This window comes from Homo sapiens, chromosome 3 (genome assembly GCF_000001405.40).
Source record: "Homo sapiens chromosome 3, GRCh38.p14 Primary Assembly".
Classification (NCBI taxonomy): Eukaryota; Metazoa; Chordata; class Mammalia; order Primates; family Hominidae; genus Homo; species Homo sapiens.
Genome location: NC_000003.12, coordinates 56157458 through 56179942, shown reverse-complemented (window position 1 = coordinate 56179942; position 22485 = coordinate 56157458). Strand labels below are relative to the sequence as shown.

The window sequence follows — 22485 nt, the reverse complement described above, 5'->3', positions numbered from 1 at the left end:
GTCCCTGGTTGATTCATCTAGGTTTTAAATACTGTCTATTCACTGATCCCAAAGTTGTCATTGTAGTTCTTACTTCTCCCCTCAAATCTAGACTCATCTATTTAATCACCTACTCAGCACCTTCACTTAAATGTCTAATATCATTACAAACTTAACACATACAAAACCAAAACTCTTAGTTCCCATAACTCCCACCTTTCCTTCCCAATCTTCCCTGTCTTGGTGGTCCACTTCCATTTTTCCTGTTGTTCAGGCTAAGAGGCTTGGAGCCATCTTTTGCTTCTCTCTTTAGTCCTCAGGCAATCTATCAGGAAGCCAAGTCCACCTCATGTTCAAAACATATCTAAACTCAACTTTTTCTCCTTGCCTCCACTCTGCTACCATGGTCCAAGGTTCTATCATGCCTTGCAAGAGTTATTCCAGTTACCTCTAACTAGCTCTGATGGGTCTGTCCTTATCACCACCACCCCGAAACCATGCTGCAATACAACATTGGGAGTAATCCTTTAAGAAAGTGCCTCATGTCATGGTTTGCCTTTGCTCAGACCTTCCAATGTCTTCCCATTTTTCTCAGAGTAAAATCAATGTCCTCACGACAAACTCCAAATGTGGAGCTCATCCTCTCATTCCCACCCACCCCTGCACTTCTTTGGCTTTCTACTTACCCCATCCCTCATGCAACTTCAGCCACACACTTAGCCTTCACTGTTCTCTCTGCCTGGAATATCTACACAGCTTGTTCCCTCGTTTCCGTTAGATGAAGCTTGTCCAGTCAGTGGTCTATGGGCTGCATGCCACCACGACGGCTTTGAATGCAGCCCAACACAAATTCATAAATTTTCTTAAAACATTATGAGTTTTTTTGTGACTTTTTTTTTTTTTTTAGCTCATCAACTTTCATTAGTGTTAGTGTATTTTATGTGTGGCCCAAGACAATTCTTCTTCTTTCAGTGTGGCTTAGGAAAGCCAAAAGATTGGACACCCCTGCTTTAGATCTTTGCTTAAGCGTCACCTTTTCATGAAGCTTTCTCTGACTATCCTATTGGAAGTTGTAATTGATCCATGCCTCCCTAGTATTTCCCATTCTACTTCTCTGATTTATTTTCCTTTATAACATTTATAACGATGTGGTTTAGTCTCCTTTTAAAATTATCGTGCCTTTTCCTCCACTGGAATCTGGAATTTAAAAAAAAACAAACAACTATGAAGGCTGGGATATTGGTCTGTTTGGTTCACTGCTGTATTTCTTGTATCCCCTGTATCAAATTATTATTTGAATATCTGAACCTCCCATGTTTTAAGACTGACATGAGTTGATGTTTGAGATTTTAGTGTTCCTTTCCTATTGATTCCTCCAATTGGTGTTGGTCCATAATAGTGGCAATTTTAAAACATGGCTTCAAATTCTTTGGCACTCCTTCCTTTAGGAAGCAGGCTTGTGACTGCTTCAAAAGAGCATGACAGAAGTGGTGCTATAGGACTTTCAAGGTTAGGTAATAAAAGGCCATGTAGTTTTCTTGCTCTTGTGCAAGAAACTGACCTAGAATTCATGAACATAATACAATGGTGGTGGTCTGATGCCATTAAGTTTGGGGTGGTTTGTTATACAGTAATAGATTTACAGAACAATAATGGGAAAAGGCCAGATAAATGTAATAATTACCTTTGGAATGAAAGTTAAGTTTTTACTTGTTGTTATTATTATTTGGTCTGTTGAAGAAAGTATGTGGTGTGTGAACATTATTCTGACAGGTTCATCTTGGAAGCTAGTGTCCATCCAGATTAACCCACTGACTCTAGACTCTCATTAACGCCAAGAAGTATCATTCTGATGAACCACTTGAGATTTCATGCTCAAAATTCTAGGCTCTTCATGTACTTTTATGTTGATCAGCTGAAGGAGCTAGCAATTTTGCACTAGCTAAAGCCAACCTTGTCATGAAATTACAGGAAAATATATAATGTGGGGTTTGATGTCACAGTGAGATGTTAAATTTTGTGATGCCACCAATTTTCTTCCCTTATTTTTTTCTGTTGTTTTTAAAAGTGAGAATAGGTGGGACTAGAAATACCAGCTAGAGGTCCTCATTTCAGTGTCAGCTGTTTATTAAAAATCTGGATAATTTCAGAGCTGGAAGAGCATTAGAAACCAATTCATAAAGCTCCTGATTCTGCTGATCAGAGAGGGGAAGCAGCATACCCAAAGTCTCAGGCTGGGACTGCAGGCTCCTGACTTTTGGCTTCTAGTACAGTGCTCTTTCCTCTCAATAAGTGGTTATCAGCCCAAAGTCTGGCTCAAAGGTAAACTTCTGGGGTGCTGATCCAGGCTCTGTGAACCAGCTGACATGGTGCACACCATTTTGCTTGCATGTGCTTTTGTGTCCATTTCCAGAAAGAATCCACTCCTCCTGTTTGATTTTTACAGAGATCTGTGACGCAGAAAAATTTAAGTACCATTGCACTTCATGATTTAATAACACTGTCATGTGAAAACTATCACAGTAAGTTAAATCTTATACTCAGTCATACCTATATGAGAGGACATCAAATGCTCCTGGGGAAATTCATTAGTTGTTTAGGATTAGTGCATAATGGGTGCATCGCTCAGATGGTTAGGGGCAGTTGGAGCCTCCAGCAACCAATTCATCCTACTGTCTGTTTAGAAAATTTGGCAAGCAATCACACGTTAAAATCACTTTGGTGATTCAAAAGCAACAAACAATACAGGACTAATAAGGTATTAATTTGCCTTGTAGCCATTGCAGTTCTTAAAGCAGAGAGAGCTGAGATCTCTGTAGATAAAGCCTGAAAGCTCATAGGCTTAACTTAATAGAAGTTTATTTTTATTTCATATCACCATGTGATGTAGGTCTTCAGCAGCCTTTCAAATGATGTTTCAGAAGTGTGGGCTTTTTCTATCTTGAGGCTACACCATCTTCTTGGATATTGAAGTCCTTCACTTCTAGCTAGTAGATAGAAAAAGAGGGAGAGTTGAGGACTAGTTAGGAAGTTTTTATGAAAGTTGATCGCGTTGCTCATTTCTAACCACATTCCACTGGACAGAAATAAGTCCCATGGCCCCACCTAGGTAGTGGTTGTGGGGCCTCCTAGCAACAACTCTATTGTATGGAAGAGGAGCACAAACCTTCCTTGGGCAACTGGTCCTCTACCACAGAGTGAGTATTGTAATAATCTCAAATCTCAAAGATAGGTGAAGTGTTTGAGATGGGATTTTCAGACAGTCCATGTTGTCTGGATATAGATTACAATTTTCATTTACCTGACACCTTAGGAATCAAGATGAGCCTCAGAATCTATGAAGTCAGGATTGAAAAATATTGTAATTAAGAAAATTACAATTCTTGGGTAATTGGAGATTTTATTTTATTTTTAAAGGAGTGACACAGAGGGTAAGGGCCCAATCAGGATTTTTAGCTGGTTTGTATTATAATATAATTTGTATAATTATAGCAAAGAGAACTCTGTTTCCATTATTGAATAACTGTTGCTACAAGTTTAGCTTTTTTATTGCATGTTTACCCTTGACAATGTTTTCGTGTTTGGCAGAAATTACAACAGCACCTGCCTTTACCTATGGTTTTTATTTTCACTGTGTTGCTTGGTTGCTTCTTCATTATTTTTCCTTGTTTTATACAAGCTTAACCTCTCTCCTCAAGTTATAATTTTTATTCTGGAACTAGGATTGGTTATGGTATGAAATTATTATGAATTGCATTCCTGGCTTTTAATAAGATGATTTTGATGCCACCTGGTATCAGAATGGGTGATCTATGAAATGAATTTCTTCTAACACTTACTAAGAGAAACTCTGACAAGTGACTTACTTTCTGTTTTCTTGTCCATGAGTTTTTATTGGTACAGTGAACTCCAGCAATCTTGGAAGTAATGTTGAGGACCAAGTAGATTTTTTCTTTGTGGAATTTGAAATCTCATGGGATCCACCCAATGCTGTGTTGGCACTGGATTGTAGTGACCTATGAAAGCTGGAAAAAAACCATCACATTGACTCCAAATTGATTGGAAACTTCTTCTAATAACTAATGTTACAAATTAAATGTACAAACTCACAATTAAATAAATTATATTAAAAACTCATAATTTCCTAATTTCTTATTACACTTTACTATTATCTAAGATCTTGAGGTTGTTACATTTATTGTGTCTGTGTGGTAGAAAATACCATACAATGGGGGTGCTATTGTGTCTCCCTTCCCAATTCTGCATTCAGGGATGCCACTTGGGTAACTTGATATTGGCCATGGGGGTGCAGGTTTTTTAATTTCCAGCAGCCTACTGTACTCACCACACATAACATCTTCTTCATTTGGTAGTGCTGAGGCTTGAATGAGACAAGCAGCGCTAGGGACATCACAGATGCTCAATAAAGGACAGCTGCCTTTAGGGTCCTTCCTTCAGAAAATCTCTGCCATTTCCAGAGAGTCCAAAAATGGTAGTGTTGCCAGATGATTGCAGTCCAGTGCCTCTAGAGGGACACAGGATCTCTTTCTGTTTCTGTATTCATAAATGTTTGGTAATGGTTGACTTCATCCCTTCCCAGGGATATGTTAGGGGAAAAAATATCCTGACTGATGTGAGAGCATTTTGAATAGTTAGGAAGTATAGTTCTCAAATTGGAGGTTGAGAAAGAGCTTTGTACAGGGTTGCTGATTTGTGCCAGTGATGAGTTGGAGAAGAAAATATTCTTTTCAGATTCCTGGTCCAGAGCTGTAGCATTAACTCCCCCACACTGGTCCTTGGACATGTGCCCTATGGTCCACCTGTAAGATTTCTTGGGCCACTGGCAAATATAATAAGAACAGCATAATAGGATGTGGGCAAAAGATTGCCTGCTTATCTTATCCTGGATAGGACTATCTTTTATTGTGTGTCTTGAGTGTTCTGACAGCTTTTACATTAACATGTCCTATCTTTTTTTTTTTTTTTTTAGACAGAGTCTCGTTCCATCACCAGGCTGGGGTGCAGTGGCGTGATCTCGGCTCACTGCAATCTCTGTTTCCCTGGTTCAAGGGATTCTCCTGCCTCAGCCTCCCAAGTAGCTGGGATTACAGGCACACGCCACTATGCCCAGCTGATTTTTGTATTTTTAGTAGAGACAGGGTTTCACCGTGTTGGCCAGGATGGTCTCAATCTTCTGACCTCATGATCCACCCACCTCGGCCTCCCAAAGTGTTGGTATTACAGGCGTGAGCCACCACACCTGATCCCATGTCCTATCTTTTTGAAGTGACAGTGATAGTAGATGATAATGGTGGAGGTAGAGTTAATTTTAAATGCCTTTACTTGCAGAAAGCTAGAAATGATATTGATCCTCTTTTTTAACTCCTTTTTTAAAAAAAGTAAATGTTTGTGATCCAGTGGTTCTGAAAGTCTAGAACTACCCCATGTTGACTCTAAATTGATTTTTGTGGAAGCAGAAGTAAGTACTGATAGAATTATTCCATAGGTGACCTGAATCACCAGCATGGGTATGTGTGAGCACTTTTGATTACTCCTGCCATTGCTCACTCTCCTAAAACTGTTGATAGTTAAGAAAATCCAAGTGTGATCTGAACACACATTGTCCTTATCTCTTCTCTTCTGCTAAGACAACTTTTCAAAGTCTCAACAGAACTGTTCTTTTGAGGAGAAGCATATAAAAAGTGACCTTCAAGATAAAAGTTGTAATTATGTTGTTTGCTTTTTACCTAAAGAAATGTTCATCATCGTTCCAGGGGTTTTTGGGTCCACATCTGGCTTTAACAATTTTTTTCTCCCCTGTAACACTGTTGATACTAATGCCAATTTTAATTTCTTGGCATCATGATACATAAATATATCACCCACAGATGTGATTTTAAACAAGGACTGAAACTGTAAATTCGGAAGCAAGAGATTCACAGGGTTTCATCAGATCACTCTCAAAAGTGACACAGTTGTACTGAAATGGTTTTAAACTGCTCATTTCAAACCTGCCTCGGTAGCAAAATGCCATGCGTGCAGCGGATTTGCAACCACGTTAGTCATTTTCTTTCCTCTGTTTCCTTGCTGTGTTTGTATTGGGAGCACAGAGTAATGTAATTTAGTAAATTATGATTTGATGGCTGGGCATCAGCCCCAGTGTTGAACAGTATTTGGACTATGATTACTTGCTGGCTTTGTCACAGTTGACATTAATTATTGATGGAAGTTTCAGAAATAGCGCATGTGCCAGGAGCTTTTCACCGGAACGCAGGCTCCAGGCAGGAGGGATGCTAAAGAGTGTGGGGGAAGAGACACCTGTGGCTTGTTTATGTCTGTGCAAGGGGAACCAGGACCCAGCAGGCTGTGTAGTACCTGTGTAAAGGTTGTGGTGTAACGGAAGGATGAACCGTCAGGCTTATTTCTATCGTGTTCCTCCCCAGGAATTGCACCGAAGAAGCCAACTTCAGCCGGAGCCAGCCAAGACGAAGGCTCTCCAGACTGTCATCGAAATGAAGGTAGGAACTGTGCACTTTTGTCAGAAACAGTTATGCCTTGGGAGTTTGTTCTAACTTGGTGGTGCCTAATATAAACATGAAATGAACCTTGTGTTTTTCTCTAGGCACCCTGCTGGATGCTTTACTTCTGGATTTTTTTTACCTTCCTGGGCACATTTAATGTATTGGTCCTTTAATTAGGATGCCTTTTCTGGGCAAAAGAATAAAGGGCTCGAGAATCCATTGGCTGAAAGGAGCTGGGTTCCTTTTCAAAGCATGTCTAATCCTAGGGAGGTTTTATGTGTGTTTTAAAAGTAAAATTTTTAAACTACAATAATTCTTTTCCTCCTATTCACATCACAATAAAAAGCACCTTTGAGAAATTAAGAGTTGGCAAAGGGAAGTTATTTTACATGCAGTGGTATTGTTAATAATTAAAATAATGCTATCAGCAAAATTTACTTTTCAAAAAATGATACTTTCTGGTGACCCCAGTATTTTCTCCTAACCAAGTTTGGAAGTAATAACACTTTACTAAGTACTTGCAAAGTATCCTATTTAGCTGTGCAGGCATAGAGATACACTATTTAAAGGAATAGAAAAATCCTTCTGAGAGAATTTAGGGCGTTTAAGGAATCATGAAGTAAATGAGCATGACCAAGCCATGATCCATGATTAAGAAACTGGTCTAAATGAAACTCCATTTCTTTGCTAGTATCTAGAAATTTAAAATCTTTTTATTTACAGTTTTTGCCAGAAGGATGCAAATAGTAAAGTATTTATCTCAATAATAAATAATTCTTGATTTAATGTGTTCCATTAAGAAACAAGTTTATAATCAAGATGTTTGCAATCTGAAAATTCCACGCTCAAGTGTAAAACTCAGGGAGTTTGCTGGTCACCGTGGGCCTGCAAGAGAATTCTAAAGCTTGCTGATAGGATAATGCATCTTCTCAATCCTTCTTGCAGCATATGATTTTGAATTATCTGCCCCCAAATTCCCAAATTTTGAGGGAAAAGAAACTAATACGAGCTCTTGAATTCTTGGCATGTGCAATCTGAGTAGGGATTGTTTTTCTTATTCAATGACAATTTCTTAATCCAAGTGGATTTTTGTGAAAATAATATAGGTCATTTGCTTTAAAACTATGTGTCCCCCAAATGAGGTTACATGAGTCAAGGCACTCATAATGTATGTGTAGCATATGGGTTTGAAAAATATCTTTGAAGGGACCAAATGCCAATAGGATTAAACAATAATTATTAACCCTGGCTCATCAGTTGTTTTAAACTTATATAATTTAAACATTTTGAAAAGAAACTGAACATTCTACACTGGGGAATGGTAGGCCAGTGGTTCATAATTCAGAGTTTATCCTCACTTCACATTGGAATCAAACCTGATACTTGGTTAAGGCTTTAAAAAAAAAAAAAGAGGAAAAATGAAAAGACAAAAGGACAAAAGACTTGTTTTTTTTTTTGTTTTTTGTTTTTGCAAAGGGTGACTCAGTCCCCCTTCCATCCACCTCCACACCCACCTTCCCAGTCAGCACAAATAGTAATGGAGAAGAGAATGTATATACAATCTATTTCCAAATTATCATTTAAGAAAAAAAAAAAAAAGAGCGAGTTTCCAAGGCCTTTGGAAAAAACAGGAGAAACATCTCTTCTAATGTGGTGGGTAGTTTCCTGGTAAATGTCTCCATACAAAGATAATTGGTACCTTTTTTTGTGACTTTTTAAAGTAGAAAAATCTGTTTGATCCTAGTTTGTTGTTTTTAGCATTATGTTTTATTATAAAAAAATTTATAAATAAAAAACTCACTTAGGTCATCTACATGGGAAGGCAGAGAAACTTGAATTCTAGGGCAAATTCATTTCTACTTATTATCACTAAATTGAGCCTAGAGTTCTCCTTTCATGGATGCCAGTGTTGCTAATTTGTAGGCATGAGGCATTTGTATTTTTAGGACAAATGAAGAGCAATATAATTTTCAGGAAACGGAAACGGATCCTCAAGTTTTTCTGTTGTCTTTTTGGATGCCTATTAACTTACAAAAGCACTGCCTTCTGTCTTGTCAACAGAGAAGTCTGGGTCCCATTAACATCTATCCTCAACATACCTAAATTGAGTTAGGGAGGCAGCTGGTGGAGGGTCATCCCAGCCATGTGTATAGCTCAGGCTGGAGGCTGTGATCTCATCTGATTTTGTACATTACACCCCTGTGAAATTGGTGGGAATATTGGAAGCTCATATTGTACAGGCTTTAGAGTTGACTACCAAATCGAACTGACCCTTAAGCCTAGTGAGTGGAACTTGAGACCCTGTTGTATTTTAGCCCTGGGTAAACATCAATGTCATCTAGTGCCTTGATAGAATTTAAAATTAAGAAGAGATTTCTTGGCCAGGTGCATTGGCTCAAGCCTGTAATCCCAGCCCTTTGGGAGGCCGAGGCAGGCGGATCATGAGGTCAGGAGATGAGACCATCCTGACTAACACGGTGAAACCCCGTCTCTACTAAAAAATACAAAAAATTAGCTGGGCGTGGTGGCACGCGCCTGTAGTCCCAGCTACTCGGGAGGCTGAGGCAGGACAATGGGGTGAACCCAGGAGGCGGAGCTTGCAGTGAGTCGAGATCGTGCCACCACACTCTAGCCTGGAGGACAGAGCGAGACTCTGTCTCAGAAAAAAAAAAAAAAAAATTAGCCAGGTGTGGTGGCGGGCAGCTGTAATCCCAGCTACTCAGGAGGCAGAGGCAGGAGAATCACTTGAACCCTGGGCGTGGAGGTTGCAGTGAGCCAAGATCTCGCCACTGCACTCCAGCCTGGGTGACATAGTGAGACACTACCTCAAAAAAAAAAAAAAAAAAAAAAAAAAAAACAGAAGAGATTTCTTAGACTAAATTGGACTCAGAGATTATCCCTATTTGTTTCTTGCTTTTTAGAGGAACTAAGGGTGAGCTTCAACCCCCATTGTCCCCATATACACACTTTGCATAAACTCGCAAAAGACATTTGTTGTGAAAGTCTGTGAAATCTTGCCTAAATTCAAGCACTATTTAGATCCACAGTCTGGTTCTAGATTTTTGTGTACCCCCTCTGGACTTTGGAGTTGTGAAAATATGTTTTTCTGGGGTGAACCTTGGGAAATATCATCTGCCTGCATCAAACTGGGGGCAGTTCTTTTGCAGACATTACATCCACTGCAGCCAGTTGAGCCTGGGGGCTGAAGTTACCTAATGAAAAATGAAAGGAAGCAAAGTGAATAAAGTTATTTGTGATTTATCTTCTTGCAGGAAGCTTCAAGTTTTAATTTTGATCCTGATTTGGTCTGGCAGGTATGTTCCAAGTTTGCACTTAGAACACTGTGTGTGTTTCTTGGAAAATTAGTTTCTTGTAGATATTGCAGTGCTCCTCTTTCTCTTGCTTTTGTGTCTAAAGATTCTTTGCTAAGCTCCTCTTTTCTGCTCTTGTGGATAACTGTCAATAAGAATGACAGTTGAAAGGCTTGTTTTCTCTTTTTTCTTTCTTTAATGCTAATTTCTTTGAAAGAATGTGTAACTTATTTTTATTATAAATTTGACATGACATAAACATGATGTCCAAAAGTTTTACTTTCTTGGGTCATTCATAAAGCCATTTGTTTTTTTTTTTTTTTAAGAAAATGAATGACAGTAATGGTAGTTCTTGTCAAATAATCTCAACCCCCTTTTTCATTGTTAGCTAGAAATTTTAAGTGAAGGAAAATCTATTTCAAAGTGGCTGAAGTCAAAAGGAAATTTATTGGAAAAAAATTTACTGGAAAAAAACAGGGGTATTGCTTCAGGCACAGCTTGATCCAGAGGCTCAAAAGATATTAGCAGATCCCATTTTCTCTCATTCCATCCCTTATCTTGTCTTCCTTCATGTGAGCTCTATTTTCAGGCAACCTCTCCCTGCCTGTGAGCAAATGGCTACAGCAACTCCAACTATCACAAATGGAAGGGCAGGGAGAATGTTGTGTTTTTTAAAAAATGTAAAAACACAACCCTTAGAGTAATAATAATTACTGAGATGACACATAAAGCTTCACTCCAAACTTAGCAGCTGAAGCTGAAAAGAAAATACATAGAGTTTTCTAGAGTTCATTTGCTTAAAACATTAAATGATATTCTTTGGGAAAAACAAACATTTTGCTAGTATAGCAGAAACTATCAGGTTTTCAGCAGAATTTATCAAAGAAGACATATATGAGTGACATAAGGGTTTTAGTAAAAGTTTGGTGAACTTGTTAACTAGTAAAAGGTTTTTAGTAAGGGTTTTAGTAAAAGTTTGGTGATTTGGTGAACTTGTTAACTAAAGTGGATTAAGAAGCCAGAGGCATAATGTGAAGTTAAAAGCAGTATTTCTGTGGTAATTGAAGTGGGGATTGTGGGTATTTAGCTTTCCAGTCCCACGGTCAGCGAGGGCACTTGTGTGCCTTGAGTTGTTCCTCTTGAGTGACATTTGTCCCCACCAGGCTTTTTTTTTAATTGGAAATAAGTAGTAAGCAAAGCAAGACTGAGCTCCACTAAGTTGCTGAAGTATAAGTGGTACTATTGGTGAAAGTATATGATTTTGCATTCAGGTGCAACTTTAATGCAGAGGTTAATTTTTTGTTATAAAAATAAGACTTCACTTTGTCTTTGTGCCCAGGCAGATAACTGTTGTTCTGCATGGAGCTGACCTGCAGCTGGGTTAAGTTTCACTTAAAAGGTATCTTGGTATTTGGTCAAATTTAGCCTGTTTAGTTCCACAGAATATGAAAGGGATGTACTGGAACACTGTGAAGTCAAGAACTACTACTTCGCAACTTTACCAAGTTTCATATAACTGGAAAGGGGAGAGAGTTCAAAGGCAAACCTAGACTACTCAGCACAACCCAATACCCATTATGAACTTGTCTGAGTCCTGGAATCTGGTCAGAGACACTATGAAGTAGCTGCCACTTCTTTGACTGTAGGGCCTACCTAGGTTTATTTCATTCATCTTCTCCAAGGATGCTGTGTTCATATGAAATTTGTGCCAATCCCAGTTTTTCTAGTAAAGCAATTATGATGATGGCTTTTAGGCCTTAAGAATATGCCCCTGCTCCTTTTGTGGCTATTAAAAACAATAACAGCACTAACAACAACGATGTCACCTGCACCCCCAGTAATACCCAATGACAGCAACATCACTACCACACATAAGGGCTACAGCACTTGATGTGCAATAAACCTGTGAATAGGCAGAGTTATCCCCAATTCACAGATGAGAAAGCTACGGGTTAGAGAGGATAAGCAACCTGCCCATGGTCCTGCAGCTAGTCAGATTGGCAGCTGAGATTTGAACATAAGTTTCTCCTCAAAGCTCTTGCACTCTTTACTCCTTCTTTCTGCCTTTTCTAAAGATAGCCCAAAGGTTCAAACGTTTTTTCTTTCAACATTTACTTTGGAAATTGTGCATTGAGGTTTGCATCCTAGAATGGGTAGAGGCAGCTCATGAGAGATGGAGTGGCTTATGTGATATTTTTGGAAAGGTGCAGAGCTGTATTTTGTGCTAAAAGGCAAAACTCATCCTTTTTACATGCATGTGTTATCATGGCTCCAAATAGGGCTCCAAATATGTACATTACAGCCAACATATGCCCTGTTTCTCCCCCTGCATTTTAAGTCTTGCTCTGAAGTCTTTTTTTAACAGCCTGGTGTGATAACTTGTTCAAACTTGTAAAGGACTGTGTGTTTTGATGTGCAGTGTGCATTTACAATATTAGAATTATCCTTTAGCTTACTTTTTTTTCTTGGGAAATTTCTCTATCTTCTCATTTTCCAACTGGACCCCCCAATATAAAGCAACAACAAACCCCTTTATCCCATTTAACTATTTGCCTTAAATAATGGGCAAAATGTGATTTTTAAGTGATGGTCAAGTCAAATGTTAGTTCTAGATGATATATGGTTGTCACTTAGAAGCAAGTAAGATTTTTTTTTAGAAGATGAGAATTATTTCCCTTTCCCCCCAAACTCTTCTTATGATATATTTGACTCTACATGTTTGACTAAATGTTGCCAGTCAATAATTCCTGCTATTACCCAGGTTAGTTTTTGTGAATCTAACTCCTGAAGTTGCATAATAAACACCAGTGTTTACTGAGCAACTATTTTGTGTACAGCACCATGATGAGGCTTTCAGGAAAAACTGAGTTCTAAGTCTTTAAGGAGCTAATGGAATGAAGTACATAAACCAGGTTATAAAGTGACTTAAGAAGGGCAAATGAGCTATGAGGAGTCAAAGGATATCAAATAAGAGAAGAAGACAGAATGCTTTTTGGAGAAGGTAGCATTTGGAGAAAGCCTTGGAAAACTGGCATGATTTTGGTAAAGGGGAATATGGTTTATAAACAGTGGGAACTATAAGAGCCACGAGTCTAGAAAGGATAAGGAGTGTCTTTGGCAGAGCAAATCATTCAGTTTGATTGAGAGAAGACATTGTAAATTTAAAAGGTGTGGTAGATCGCATTAAACCAGTAGAAAAAGAAGGTGGAGAGAAAGAAATAATAAACATAAAAGCTAACATTAAATAAATAGAGGGTAAACATATACTAGAGTGGAGCACCAAAACTAAATGCTGTTTTTTTGAAGAGATTCACAAAAATGACAAATCCTGGTTAGAATCAGCAAGAAGAGTAGAGACAGCAAAAATAACCAATATCAGGGATGAAAGTGGGGCATCACTATAAACCTTATTAACATTAAAATATGAGAGGATTTTATTAGCAACTTTGTGATAATAAAGTTGAAATTTTAGATAAATGAAAAAATTCTTTTTAAAAACACAATTTGTCAAAACTTGCTTAAGAAGAAATAGAATATCTGAGTAGTCTTATATGTTAAAGGAAATGATTCTATAAATTAAAATCTTACCACCAAACCAAAAACCTAAAAACCCAAACCAAACAGAAACAATTAGAGGCCCAGATGGCTTTTTTGAGTGAATTGTACCAAATGTTTGAAGAGGAAATGAAATCAATCATACAGAAACTCTTCTAGAATAGAAAAAGAGGGAGCATTTCCCATCTTGTTTTATGAGGCCAGCATATGTTTGATATTCATACCCAGCAAATATATTACAAAAAAGGAAAATTACAAGCAATCTCCTGAGTAAACACTGATGGTAGAAAATATCCTAGTGAATTGAACTCAATGACAAATAAATGACATGACCAAGTTGTGTTTATTTTAGGAATGCAAAGTTGGACTGATATTTGGCTATCAATCATGTTATCCACCATATTAAGAGGATAAAGGAGAAAATGAATATAATTCATAGGTACAGAAAAAGCATTTGATTAATGCAACATCCATCCATGGCCCCCAAAAATGTTTTTCAGAAACTCAGAAGTAGAGGATTTTCTTAATCTAATAAGAATAGTTACAAGAAAGCTATAGCTAATATCATGTTCAATGGTAAAATGTTGAAAGCTTTCTCTATGATATAAGGAATAAGACAAGAATGCCAGTTACCATCACTTCTGTTCGATAATGCTATGGACATCCTAGGTATAAAAATTAGAAAGAAAAAAAAAACATTTTTGTTCACAAGTACCATAATCGAGTCTGTAGAAAATATCAGTGAATCCATATATACAATATTAGATTAGTAAATAAATTTAGCCAAATGGCTGGCCAGTATTTTAAAATGAATCTTATTTGTACATACTAGTTATAAACAATTAAGATATGAAATTGAGAAAACAATATCACTTACACTGGTATTAAAAAACCCCAAATATATAAGAGCAAGTCTAACAATAGCTATAAAAGACCTAATTTAAATAAAAAGGTATAACACATAACTAAATGTAGAATAACTAAAAACTTTAAACAAGTGAAACAGCTGTCAGCAGTAGGGTGGATAAAACAGTAGTGGAATATTCATACAATGAAATGCTATATGGCAATGAGAAGGACCAAGCTATTGCCATATGCAGGGGGGAGGGGGGAGGGATAGCATTAGGAGATATACCTAATGCTAGATGACGAGTTAATAGGTGCAGCACACCAGCATGGCACATGTATACATATGTAACTAACGTGTACACTGTGCACATGTACCCTAAAACTTAAAGTATAATAATAAAAAAAAAGCTATTGCCATATGCAATAGCGTAAATGAATACTATCCCCAAAATAATGTTGGAAGAAGCCAGCCACAAAAGAACATATATAATATATGTTCTCCAAACAAGCTAAACTAATTGATAGTATTAGATATCTGTATAGTAGTTAATTTGAAGAAGAGGAGGGAAAAGTGAAGGTTGGGAGGGCCAGGAAGGAGGTTTCTGAAGTACAGGTAATATTCTATTTCTATTATGTTCTGTTTTGTGATCTGGTTGGCCCAAGTGTGTTCACTTGACCACAATTCATCATTTTGAAAGTCTATGATTTGTGTACTTTCTTATATTAATACTTTAATTAAAACGTTTCTTTAAAAATAAAGAAAAAATAATTCATCAATAAAAAGATAACTGAATTACAAAACTGGGCAAAAGATTTAATTAGACATTTCTCCAAAGAAGACATACAAATGGCCAATAAGGACATAAAAAATACTGAACATCATTCGTCATTAGGGAAATGCCAATCAAAACCAGCATTAAATACAACTTCTCCCACACTAGGATGGCTAAAATAAGAAAGACAGACAATAATGAGCGTTGGGGAGGATGTGAATAATTAGAATTCTCATATGTTGATGGTGGGAACATAAAATGGTACAGCCCTCTTTGGAAAACTGTTAGCAGTTCCTCAAAATGTTAAACATAGAGTTACCACATGACCTAGAAATTTCACTTGTAGGTACACACCCAACAGAATTGCAAACATATGTCCGCACAAAACACTATCCACAAGTGTTCACGCTACCATTATTTATAATAGCAAAAGCTAAAACAACCCAAATGTCTATCATCTGATATATGAAGAAACAAAATATGGCATATCCACATAGTAGAATATTATTCATCAACAAAAAGTAATAAATTACTGATATAGGCTACAACATGGATGAACCTTGAAAACATTATGCTAAATGGAAGAAGTCAGTCAGAAAAGGCCACATATTATATGATACTATTAATTAAATGTCCAGTGTAGGCAAATTAGGGACAGAAAGTAGATTAGTGATTGCCAGGAGCTAGGGGGAAGGAGGAAAGAAGAGTTACTGCTAATGTGTACTGGATTTTGGGTGATGAAAATGTTCTGGAATTAAATAGCAGTGATGGTTGCAGAAACCTCTAAATTATACTCTTTAAAAGGGTGAATTTTATGGTGTGTGTATTATAGCTCATGAAAGCTGTTATTAAAAATAAAGAAAAATATTATAAAGGAAATGATTAATAACTTTGCTTACTTAAGGCTTACAAGAGATTCTTAAGGGCATTCTAAATATGGATACAAAAGAATGATACCTGCTGCCACAAAAACACACTTAGTACTTAGCCCATAGACCCTATAAAGGAACCACACAATCAAAACTACAAAGCAACCAGCTAGCAACTTCATTATAGGATCAAAACCTCAAATATCAATATTAATCTTGAATGTAAATAGTCTAAATGCCCCACTTAAAAGGCACAGAGTGAAAAGTTGGATCAAAAGACAAGATTTATCTGTCTGCTGTCTTCAAGAGACCCACATCACATGTAACAACACACATAGGCTCCAAGTAGAGTTGGAGAAAGATCCACTGTGCAAATAAAAAGCAAACAAACAAAAAAGGAGCAGGGGTCACTATTCTTATGTTGGATAAAACAGACTTTTAAAACCAACAACAGTTAAAAAGGACAAAGAAAGGCATTACATAATGATAAAGGATAAAGACTTTTCTAACCTAAAAATGTATGTACCCAACACTGGAGCACTCAGAGTCAAAAATATGAATTTGTAAGACTTACGAAAAGACTTCGACAGCAACACACAATAATAGTGGGAGACTTCAAAACCCCACTGTGAGCATTAGACAGATCATCGAGACAGAAAACTAACAAAGAAATTCTGGACTTAAACACAACACTTGACCAATTGGACCTAATAGACATCTACAGAATATTCCACTCATCAACCACAGAATATATGTTCTTCCCACCTGCACGTGGAACATACTCCAAGATCAACCACATGCTCGGCCATAAGGTGAGTCTCAATAAATTCAGAAAAATTGAAATCATAGTAACCATACTCTTGGATCACTGTGGAATAAAAATAGAAATCAATACCAAGAAGATCTCTCAAAAGCACATAATTACATGGAAATTAAACAATTTGCTCCTGCATGACTTTTGAGTAAACAGTGAAATTAAGGCAGAACTATAAAAATTATTTGAACTACATGAAAACAGAGACACAAGATACCAAAAGCTCTGGGACAGAGCAAAAGCAGTGTTAAGAGGAAAGTTTGTAGTGCTAAGTGCCTATCTCAAAAAGTTAGAAGGATCTCAAATTAACAATCTAACATCACACCTAGAAAAACTAGAAAAACAAGAGCAAACTTACCCCAAAGCTAGCAGAGAAAAGAAATAAAAAAAACAGAGCAGAACTGAACACAATTGAGACCCAAAAATGCATACAAAGAATCAATGAAACTAAAAATTGGTTCTTTGAACAGACAGATTGATAGACCATTAGCTAGATTAACAAAGAAAAAAAGATCCAAATAAATTCAATCAGAAATGACAAAGGTGACAATACAACTTATCCCACAGAATTACAGAAGATCCTCAGAGACTATTATGAACACTTAAATGCACACAAACTAGAAAATCTAGAGGAACTGGGTAAATTCGTGGAAACACACACTCTCCCAAGATTCAATGAGGAAGACTTAGAAACACGGAAAAGACGAATATTGAGTTCTAAAATTGAATAAGTAACAAAAAACCTACCAACCAAAAAAAGCCTTGAACTGGATGGGTTCACAGTTGAATTCTTTCAAACATACAAAGAAGAGCTGGTACTAGTTTTACTGGAACTATAGCAAAAAGGCAAGGAACACGGACTCCTCCCTAACTCATTCTACAACGTCAGTATCACCCTGATACCAAAACCTGGCAAAGACACAAGAAAAGAAAACTACAGGGCAGTATCCCTGATGAATGTAGATGCAAAAATCCTCAACAAAATACTATCAAGCCAAATTCAACAACATCAAACAATTAACTCACCACAATCAAGTAGGCTTCATTTTTAGAATGCAAAGTTGGTTCAATATATGCAAATCAATAAATGTGTTCAACACATAAACAGAATTAAAAACAAAAACCATATGATAATCTCAATAGATGTGGAAAAAGCTTTTGATAAAATCCAACATCCCTTCATGATAAAAACCCTCAAGAAATTAGGCATTGAAGCAACATACCTCAAAATAATAAGAGCCATCTATGACAAACCCATGGCCAACATCACATTGAATGGGCAAAAAGTGGACACATTCCCCTTGAGAACTGAAACAAGACAAGGATGCTCACTCTCATTACTCGTATTCAACATAGTACTGGAAGTGCTAGCCAGAGCAATTAGGCAAGAGAAAGAAATAAAAGGCAACTAAACAGGAAAAGAAGTCAAGCTATATCTCTTCACTGACGGTATGATTCTATACCTAGAAAACCCTAACGACTGCCAAAAGACTTCTGAAACCTTCAGTAAAGTTTCAGGATACAAAATCAATGTAATAAAATCAGTAACATTTCTATACACCAATAGTGTTCAAGCTGAGAGCAAAATCAAGAATGCAGTCTCATTTATAATAGCCACACACACACACAAAATACCTAGGAATACATCTAACCAAGGAGGTGAAAGATCTCTATGAGAAGAACTGCAAAACACTGCTCAAAGAAATCACAGATGACATAAACAAATGGAAAAAACATTCCATGCTCATAGAGTGGACAAATCATTATTAAAATGGCCATACTGCCTAAAGCAATTTGCAGATTCAATGCTATTCCTATCAAACTACCAATGTCAGTTTTCTCAGAACTAGAAAAAACTTTTCTAAACTTCATATGGAACCAAAAAAGAACTTGAATAGCCAAAGCAATTGTAATAGGCTGTCCTCACATTGCTATAAAGTAATACCTGAGGCTGGGTATTCCATAAAGAAAAGAAGTTTAATTGGCTCATGGTTTGGCAGGCTGTACAAGCATGGCAACAACAACTGCTCAGCTTCTTGTGAGGGCCTCAGGAAGCTTACAGTCACAGCAGAAGGCAAAGCAGGAGCAGGTACATCACATGAAAAGCTGGAGCAAGAACTGGGAGGAGGGCCCCGACTCTTTTTCAACAACCAGATCTCATGTGAGCTAACTGAGCAAGAATTCACTTAGCAGCAAGGGGATGGTGTTAAACCATTCATGAAGGATCCATTCCCATGATCCAATTACCGCCCACCAGGCCCCACCTCCAACATTGGGAATCGTATTTCAACATAAGATTTGGAGCAAACATCCAAACCATATAAGCAATCCTAAGCAAAAAGAACAAGCCTGGAGGCATCATATTACCCGATGTCAAACTATGCTATAAGGCTACAATAAACAAAACAGCATAGTATTGGTATAAAAACAGACACATAGACCAGTGGAATAGAATAGAGAACCCAGAAATAAATACACACATCTATTGCCATCTGATCTTTGAAAAATTGACAAAGGTAAATAATGGGGAAACAACTTCCTATTTAATAAATGGTGCTGGGATAACTGGCTAGCCATATGCAGAAGAATGAAACTAGACACTTACATTTCACTATATGTATAAAGCTTAATTCAAGATGGATTAAATATTTAAATGTAAGACCTCAAACTCTAAGAATCCCAGAAGAAAATCTAGGAAACACCATGCTGGACATTGGCCTTGTGAAAGGATTTATGACTAAGTCCTCAGAATCAATTGCAACAAAACCAAAAATTGACAAGTGGGACCTAATTAAACTACAGTTCTTCTGCTTAGCTGAAGAAACTATTAACAGAGGAAACAAACAATCTACAGAATGGGAGAAAATATTTGCAAACTGCACATCCAGCAAAGATCTAATATCCAGAATCTATCAGGAACTTAAACATTGAACAAGCAGAAAAACAAATAACTCCATGAAAAATTAGGCAAAAGACATGAACAGACACTTCTCGAAAGAAGACATGCAAGTGTCCAACAAACATAATCATCAGAGAGAAGCAAATAAAAACCACAGTGAGAAGCCATCTTACACCAATCAGGATGGCTATTATTAAAAAGTCAAAGCACAACAGATGCTAGTGAGGTTGTGGAGAAATGGAAACGCTTATACACTGTTGGTGGTAATACAAATTAGGTCAGCCTCTGTGGAAAGCAGTTTGGAGATTTCTCAAAGAATTTAAAAGATAACTACTATTTGACCCAGCAATCCCATTACCCAAAGGAATGTAAATTGTTTTACCAAAAAGACACATACACTTAAATGTTCATCGCAACAGTATTCACCATAGCAAAGACATGCAATCAACCTAGGTGCCCATTAATGGTGTACTAGATGAAGAACGCTTAGTATGTATACGCCATGGGATACTATATACAGCCATAAAAAAGAATGAAACCATGTCCTTTGCAGCAACATGGATGCAGCTGGAGGCCATTATCCTAAGTGAATTAACACATTAACAGAAAACCAAATACTGCACGTTCTCACTTATAAGTGGGAGTTAAACATCAAGTACTCATGGACATAAAGATGGCAACAATAGAAACTGGGGACTACTAGGGAGGAAGGAGGCAAGGGGACAAAGGTTGAATAACTATTGAGTACTATGCTTAATGCCTGGGTTATGGGATCATTTATACCCCAAACCTCAGCATCTTGCAGTATACCCGAGTAACAAACCTGTACATATACTCCCTAAATCTAAAATAAAAGTTGATAAAAAGCGCAAAATAACCAACTATGAAATGTATTTTTAAAGTTTATAGTAGTTTAGAGGTTTAGTATTCTTAATGTGTAAAAAGGTTATATTTATCAATGTAGAATAACAACTTCGGGGAAAATGTACTAAAATGTTGACATTTGTTCTGGGAAGAGAGATTATAAAGGATTTTTTTCCTCTTCTTTCCTCCCATATTATTCCATTCTCACATTTCTATAATGAAATACCAAAGACTGGCTAATTTATAAAGAAAAAAGGTTTAATTGGCTCACAGTTTTGCAGGCTGTAGAGGAAGCATGATGCTGGCATTTGCTTGGCTTCTGAGGAGGCCTCAGGAAACTTACAATTATGGTGGAAGTTGAAGAGGGAGGAGTCACAGTCAGATGGCCAGAGTAAAAGCACAAAACAGGTGGGGTGGGGGGGTGCCACACACTTTTAAATGACTCGATCTCATGAGAATTCACTCACTATTGTGAGGACAGCATCCAGCATATGGTGCTAAACCATTCATGAGAAACTGCCTCCATGATCCAGTCACCTCCTTGCAGGCCCCACCTCCAACATTGGGGATTACAATTGAACATGAGATTTGGGTGGGGACACGGATCCAAACCATATCACTCCCCTAAATTTTCATGTTTTCAATAATGTGCTTTTTTCTAAACATAGAAATGATCAGGAATTATTATTTTGAAAAAAAACAAGTTTGTTAAAAGAAAAGCCATAATCAGAAATCTTGAAAATGCCCTATTTTTTAAATTCTTGGTTTTTTTTTTGTTTTTCTGAACTGAGAAGGTTCCAAAGAGGAGAAGGTTAGGTTATTTATGGAAATTGAGAATTTTGCTTGCTGCTTACTGCTTCTCTATGCTTCAGCTTTCCCATCTGGGAAATGGGTCCATGATACTAGCCTGTACGGGTTGTGGTGGGGATTAAAATGAGTTAAGGCATGGGAAAATCCTGGCACATAATAGAGGATCAAGGAATCCTTTGCCTCTCCATCTCTTCCCTTTGAGTTTGAAAATTGAGTTTTATCTGTAAAAAAGAGGTTGTGCCTTTGAGCAAGGACCACCAGAGAGAAGGAACTAAATAAGCCTATTTTAGGCAGAGAGAGTCTTAGCTCTGAATACACACATAGTTTGCATGTTGAAAAGACTTTAAAAGTGTCTTTGAAAGGAGAAAACAGTGGAGAAAAAATAGCAAGTCTCAGGAGGTCTATGGGATAATAAATGACCTAGGAACTTAGCTTTCTGGCTATTGGGCATTTGGCAAGTCACTTGTCCCCACTGGCTCTCACTCTTCTTATCTGACAAATGAAGGGATTGGACTAACTGTCCTACTTTAAAAATTCTGCCAAGTCTGAGGCTTGATGACTGGCAATTTGGACTCTCAGGGGGCCCTCCTGGGGAGTCTGAATTGACATGACATTCTTGCAAAGTTTAAATCTTAGCTTTGTTTGCTCCATCTTGGCCAGCCCTGCCCAGGCCAGCAGTCCCTGCCCTCTCCCTTGCTGGTGCTCAGGTTCCCAGCCTACCGTTTATTTAGGGATTGCAATTTCCTTACTGGCGTGTGCCCCTGCCAGCAGGGTTGAGAAGTCAACCACAGGCCTCATGTGAACTTCCCCTTTCAGGTTTCAGTAATGACAGCATACCAACCATCACATGCCTCATCCCTGAGGCATGGTCCAGTTTCCACATCCATCAGGCCACATTGGTGACTTGGGGTGGCCTGAATTCCACTGCTGCCTGTTGCTTTTTTTTTTTTTTCCATGAGACAAACTGGTTGAATGTAGAATGATCTGTGGTATGTTTCGGAGATTCTAAGAGGAGACACCAAACCCAACCAGGAAGTGGGTTAAAAGGAACGGGAAGAGCAAGTTCAGCTTGCTAGAAGGCTAACAAGGAGAGAGAGCTTCCTCACTCAATCTTTTCCTAAAGAACACTGGAAGAGAAATGGAGTGGTCAGATGTCCATCTTTTTAGGCTCCCTAAAATGCATTCACTGTGTTGCAAAGTAGTATTCCCTGAATTGCTGGCATTCTCAGGATGGGCAGCTG

The 22485-nt window shown here is 37.6% G+C and overlaps 1 protein-coding gene across 21 annotated transcripts in view; it reads left to right on the top strand.

The window, feature by feature from the left end:
- Window positions 1–22485, top strand: part of ERC2 (ELKS/RAB6-interacting/CAST family member 2) — a 960157-nt gene that overhangs the window by 288525 nt on the left and 649147 nt on the right. For 17 of the 21 annotated variants that reach the window (NR_132749.2, XM_017006156.2, XM_047447950.1 and 14 more), the window contains exon 4: window positions 6423–6497. Coding sequence is in view for 20 of the 21 variants with exons in the window: in XM_017006156.2 (XP_016861645.1) it covers window positions 6423–6497 (75 nt within the window). In the remaining variant the exon portion in view is untranslated. Of the gene's footprint in view, window positions 1–6422; window positions 6498–9772; window positions 9815–22485 lie in introns of all 21 variants that reach the window. The other 4 variants (XM_047447944.1, XM_047447945.1, XM_047447942.1 and 1 more) reach the window with 1 other exon arrangement.